The following is a 6,922-nucleotide window of genomic DNA, read 5'->3' as shown; positions in this document are numbered from 1 at the left end:
TAAGAAATCCATTTCCTGAGAGAATTTTTTTTCATTAAAATCTTCCGCACAAGACAGAAAAAAATTCACGTCACAGTTCTTTGTAAGCTCTCATCATGTTATTGTGGTTAATCAAGACTAAGAATTTTCTTTTATTTCTTAGAATTGATAAGAAATTGTGCATTTTTTTCTTCAAATGCTATTTAAGAGGGAAGCATGGTACTGAAACCAATTTAGTAGTAGCTTAGAACTCTAGTATTTTCATTAAGAAATGGGAATTTCTATTTTTTGCCTGAGGTAATTACTTTAAGTTCCTGAAAGCATAATCATTTTGCATGTTACGCCAAGGACGGAATTCCTGATGAAAATGCTAAGTACCCATATCCCCCACTCTCGTAATAAATTGAAATGTTAACCCACTTGTTCTCAGCAGATCACGCATAATTCGCAGTGTGTGAGGGAAGAGAATTGTTTGGGCTGCAGCAATATATCAAGAGAAAAATAATCTTTAATTAAAAAAAGATAAATATGGCCGGGTGCTGTGGCTCATGCCTGTAATCCCAGCACTTTGGGATGCCGAGGTGGGTGGATCACCTGAGGTCAAGAGTTTGAGACAAGCCTGGCCAATGTAGTGAAACCCCATCTCTACTAAAAAAAATACAAAAGTTAGCCGGGCGTGGTGGCGGGCGCCTGTAATCTCAGCTACTCGGGAGACTGAGGCAGGAGAATCACTTGAACTCGGGAGGTGGAGGTTGCAGTGAGCCGAGATCGTGCCATTGCACTCCAGCCTGGGTAACAGAGCCAGACTCCATCTCAAAACAGGAACAAAAACAACAACAACAACCACAACAACAAATCCAAAAAAACACAAAACCACATATATACAAAATGTTTTAGCTTTTGAATAAAACTCTAAAAAAGGAACATGTTCTACTGCAGAAGAAGAGATAATGTAAAATCTGTTAGAGTGAAAAAGTCACAGGGCAAATTAAACCTTGAGGAAGACAAAATAAGAATGTTGTTTTTGATAAATGCGTGAACCTCACTACATAGGAGACGCTGTGTTAGGCACTGAATTGAGGAGATGGGTGGCATAGAGCCTTCCCAGCGGTTGCAAGCGACGTACTTTTTTCTTGGTTGATGCCATTCATATCTCTCATTCATTTCTTGGCTTTTTTAATATTTTGTTGTTTGTAATTTTTATTGGTTTATAAGATCTCTTTTTATATTAGGAACATTAAATTCTTAATAGTTATACATTACGTGTGTATATATATGTTCATATACATATAGTAAAGATTCCCTTCTGTTTTTTTTAAGTTTTTATGGTGTTATTTACCAATAGGTAATTTAATGTCCTGTACAGGTAGTAAAATGTGGCATGTTATTTTTTTCTTTTATGGCTTTTGGGTATTTTGCCACACTGAGAAGGGTCCCTACCATCCAAGTATTATTAAAAAATGTTTTCCTGCAATGTGTCCTAGGAATTTTATAAGTCTCTTTTTATCCAATTAAAGTTTTAAGAATAAACTTTTTATTGATGTGTAACACACACACAAAAGTGCACGAATCATAAGTATTTGTTTCTAGTTAGCTTTGTTCAGAAGTTTGAAAAAATATACCCTTTTAATATTTAACAAATGTATAATGCAAATTCCGTACAATTTACCTATTAAAGTGTACCATTCAGTGTTTTTAGTATATTTATAGGATTGGGCAACCCTCACCACAATCAGTTTCAAAACATTTTCATCATCCCAGAGGGAAACCTCTTACTCATTAGCAGTCACTTCTGATTTCCCCTCAACTCCCTAGTCCCCGGCAACCACTAATCTATTTTCTGTCTCTAAAGAATTGCCTATTCACTCTGGTTAGCTTTTTAATCCATCTGGAATTTATTTTTGTGTGTGGTGTAGAATTCTAACTTTTTTAATCAGAAGGAAAATTATCAATTGCTAATAATAGTTGAATTGAGTGAACAAATGAATTAATAAGTTGCCCAAAGAGACAGGAATTCAGAAATAGAAGCAACCATTTATGAGTGCATGTTCAGTGACTGGCTGCATGGAGCAGATAGTTTAAGGTGGGCCTTTGAAACATGAGTGAGATTTGGAAAGATTGAAGAGGGAAGAGGAGTGGCAAAAAAAGGATGCAGAAAAATGGATCGTGAGCTTAGAGAAGGTTGAGGAGGCCAGTGTCTCCAAAGCAGTTAATATATGTAAGAAATTATTACGGGTAAGGCTGGTATAGGTAGTCAGTACCCAGCCTGTGAAAGTCCTTAAAGATTAGGCTGAGGATTTTGCATTTGATCCTATTAGCATTAAAGAGCATCGTGAAAGTTCTTACAATGGAAGTGAAATAGAGGAGGTACTAGAGAATATGGGGACGATTTGAACTTTCTCTGTACAAATGAAGAATCAACAGCAGTCTCTCCTGGTACCCTTTCATTTCCTTGTGTGGTTCTTACTGGTTGAAAAACCTTATTTACTTATCTTTATCTCTTTCTTCCTCATTTGTATTTGGGAGAAAGGGAGAACATGCTGCTTCTAGCTTTGAGATTTAGGGATTTCTGGGATGGGAGTAAGTTACCTATTGAAAGGCAGACCCAGAAAACAGCAGCAGGTAACGTTTGGCAAGCACGGATTCTGTGTCAGAACCTGTTCTAAGCATTCCACATGCCTTCATTAAGTTGCAGTTGTATCTTCCTATCAATTCTAAGACATAGTTGCTATTGATATGAGTCCCTTCCATTAATGGGGAACCAAGATCCAGCAGGTAAGTGACTCGCTCACAGTCACAGGGCTAGTAAAGGTGAGCCAGGAGAGGAACCTGATGGATCTGGCTCTAGGGCTTATTCTTCACCACAGCGCTACATTGCCTCTTCCACCCTCCAGATGGAGCAATGCACATCCATAGGAAACACTCTGCTTCCTCAGTAGCTATGTAACCTCATACTCCTGACAAAATGTAAATGGCATCACATTATAGGTGGGGGCAAAAACTTGTGACTCTAAACAGTATTGGTTTAATTAATTATATCTGCTTTCTTAAAAATCAAAAACAGGAAAATCTCATTGATACAAGTCTTGGTCTATACAGAACATGCTTTGTCATGTCCACGTTTCCCTTTGGCACAGCAACTGGACTATTCTAGACTGAGGTTGCTCTTTTAGCCCTGATCCTAGAGTAAGAATGACAACAATAAACAGTAGAGTGCAGAGTGCAGGTAGCCCACAAATGGATGTGTAGTGTTAGTTGTTTTAAACCACAAAACTTCTTTTGTTTGTGTTTTTGTTATTGCAGCATAACTTTGCCTTCCCTGACTGATACATCTTCTGAGTTTTTTGTTTCAATACTAAAGAGACCCAAAGAACCCTGCTTTGGTGATTCTTCTGTACCCTTTTAATGCTGTAAGGCATTCAGTAAGTGTCCTCTTTTATTGCTTTAAATCTATTTGTTTTCTGTGCAAATTGCTAATGATCCAAGAGTGATCTGACTATCCACGTGAGTCTAATGCAAAGGCTTTGTTGAAATTTTTTAGTGCTTAGAAATCTCTTTCTACTCATATTCCGATTTCTTACTGGACTTTGGATTTCAACTGATACTGCTGAAAGTCTACCTCCATTTATGTATGCCTAATGTTTTGGTTGAGATTCTTTGATTACTTGAAACAGAGATCTTCCTATAGTATATAGACACCAAGAGGGTTGCTAATGATGTCTTCCTCCTTTTACATATCGCCTTAGATAGTCCCTTTTTCATAGTGTACCAGGGTTGGTTTGTGTGTACAATTGCATATGGCAGAAATAATGTATGTCACTTCTGGGATTCAGTTATTAAAGATTGTGGCTTTCACCTTGGTCTCTTTGGTCGGTCTCTCTCTCTCTCTCCCCCTTCTCCCCCTCCCTCCCTCCTTCCCTCCCCCACTTCCCTCTCCTGCCTCCCTCTCTCCCTGTCTGTCTCTCTTTTCTTTCTTTCTTTCTCTTTCTTTCTCTTTCTTTCTTTCTTTCTTTCTTTCTTTCTTTCTTTCTTTCTTTCTTTCTTTCTTTCTTTCTTTCTCTCTCTCTCTTTCTTTCTCTCTTTCTTTCTATCTCTCTCTCTCTTTCTTTCTTTTCTTTCTTTCTTTCTCTCTCTTTCTCCCTCCCTCCCTCCCCCGTCTTTCTTTCTTACTTTCTCTGTCTCTGTGTGTGTGTGTGTGTGTGTGTGTGTGTGTCTGTCTGTCTGTCTCTCTCTCTCTCTCTCTCTTTCTGTCTGTCTTTTTCTCTCTGGGGAAAGCAGCCAGCAAAGACATAAGTCCTGACAAAACTATGTGAATAAGCTTAGAAGTAGACTTTCCAGCTCCAGTCGAGCCTTGAAATGATTGGAGACCCAGCCAATAGCGCAACTTGACTGTAACTTTATGAGAAACTTTGAATCAGAACCACTCAGCTAAGCCACTCTGAATTCCTAACCTTCAGAAACTGTGAGAGATAGTAAGTAATATTGTTTTAAAATGCTACATTTTGGGATACTTTGTTACATAGCAATAGATAACTACTACATTGCCTGAAAACTGCTTAAATAAAGAGAAATAAATGGTAATAAATCAGGGAAATCTCTGATAACATACAGGTCACATTTGGCAGATTTCTAAGTGAATCGCCTGGGGAAGGTGTTAAGATTCATGGCTTATATCCTGTCCCTGAGTAAAGAATCTTACCGTGAGTCCCTCAAATCTTATGAGTTCCTCAAACTATTGATACACTAATGAATCAGTAAACTACTGACAACAAAAAGGATGCTGATTTGTTTCTGATTTATGAAGTTTTGCTGATTTGTTTCTGAATCATGAAGTTGTACCGATTGTCTTGAACATAGGACATTTTAGCTTGTATGTTGTCATCTGTAGCCGATGATTGTAACCTCTGTATTGTATTCTCCAGTGAAAAAAGGCAACTCTGATAGGAGTCCATCTTCCTTCTCCTAAACTTCTCCTTTTCCTATAAAAGCATTTCAACTTGTAATAGACTTTGGAATGTGCCCAACTTTGTTGTTGTGTCTTCCCAGGTCGATCTTCCCATCTAGCTTCCAATAACCCTTTATCAAATTATTTCTGCCTGAACAGCCTTAATTTCAGTTGACATCTCACAGAACCTAATTTCAGGAAATACAGTCGGGTTTTCCAGAAGTCGAAAGTTATCACTTAGCAAATGTCAGTCAGCAGCTCTTTCTGGCTCTGGCTCTTTGGAGTGGCATGGCCTCTTGTGTCTGTTAAGTACTGTTCCCTCCCACCCTCTCATCCTATATATTGATTTATCTTTGTTATTGCTTTCCAAGAACACTGGCTTGTGCATGGTTTGGGGTTGCCATGGAGCTATAGCTGCCCTGACTTTGTTCTTGCTCCAATGCTTAGCACAATCCAGCTCAATCTCTGGGCTCCCTAACAGCCTCAGGAGAGAATCTAATCAGCTTGGATCAGATTGTCCATCATGACAATCAGCTGTGACCAGGGGTCAAATCACTAGCCACCAAATGTTTCCATTGCCCAGGCAGAGAAATGGGAAGATTATATATATGGTTTGGCTCTGTGATTATATGGTTTGGCTCTGTGTTCCCACACAAATCTCACCTTGAATTGTAGTTCGCATAATCCCCACATGTCATGGGGGGGGGACCCAGTGGGAGGTAATTTAATCACGGAGGCGGTTACCCCCATGTGTTCTTGTGATAGCGAGTTCTCACAAGATCTGATGGTTTTATAAGGGGGATTTTCCCCCTTTTGCTGGGTACTTCTTCCTGCCGCCATGTGAAGAAGGACATGTTTGCTTCCCCTTCCACCATGATTGTAAGTTTCCTGAGGCCTCTCCAGCAGTGCTGAACTGTGAGTCAATGAAACCTCTTTCCTTTATAAATTACCCAATCTTGGGGATGTTTTTATTAGCAGTGTGAAAATGAACTAAATAACAGGAAATTGTCATGGCAGGCAAATTGATTACCATTTGCCCAGGACACTGATAAATTCTTTATTAGCAAAAATGAAATACATTGAAACTGGATTTCAGTCTTTTGCAAAAGGCAGAATCCTTTTGTGAAGTAAATAGTGGCCCTTAATTTATCTGCTTGCTAAGTTTGTTTTTCTACTTTCAGTGCTCATGAATTGGGAATACACCTGCAATTTTAGGCACCAATTACTGTGTTGGATAATTCTCTACCCAAGGGAGCTGATTTCCTGGGAGAAGAACCCTGCTTCTGTGTGGGTACTTAAGTTAGCAAAACAGGAAGAAGCCAGTTAGTAAAAATTTCGTGTCTTGAAAGGCAAAATAATGTAATAAACAAAGTAAGGGTATTAGAGTCAGATGGACCTGAGCTCCTGAGTTTGCACTCTGATTTATAACTGATATGATGCTGGACTCTGAACCTCAGTCTCCCCTTGGTAAAATGAACATAATCTCTATTTCACAGGGTTCTTGTTAGAATTAGATACGTTGACATATGTAGCATGCCCAAAACAGTACCAAACACATATTAGGAGTTCAGTAAAAGCTAGGTTATTACCATGATTGGCAAATATTTTTCAGCCAAAAAATATAGATGTATTTAAAAATTCATTGCACATGTAAGGAAATGGTAACAGTATTCAATGCTTGCTATTTTTGCCCTGAATACTTAGAGCTGATCTTGAGAAAAATAAATGAGTCATGTAATTCTATCCCCAGTTCGATAATTTCTGTGACTCCATGAAGGAGCCGGTCAGTTGGAACATCTCCTGGAGGCAGGTTGTACACTGGATCAGAGACAATGAAATGCAATGGACAAGGAGCCTGGGGCTGTGTGAGTCCCAGAAAGAGATTGAGGGTCTTTCTTCCTCTCGCATATCTAAATGCATCATCTTTCTAGGGAACTTTCACATGCTACCTCTAGCACAATCCCTCTTAAATTCTTCCCAGTTTTAAGTGTGCCAAAG

Source organism: Homo sapiens, chromosome 10, assembly GCF_000001405.40.
Source record: "Homo sapiens chromosome 10, GRCh38.p14 Primary Assembly".
Lineage (NCBI taxonomy): Eukaryota > Metazoa > Chordata > Mammalia > Primates > Hominidae > Homo > Homo sapiens.
The sequence above is the reverse complement of the archived record's forward strand: the minus strand, read 5'-3'. Positions refer to the sequence as shown.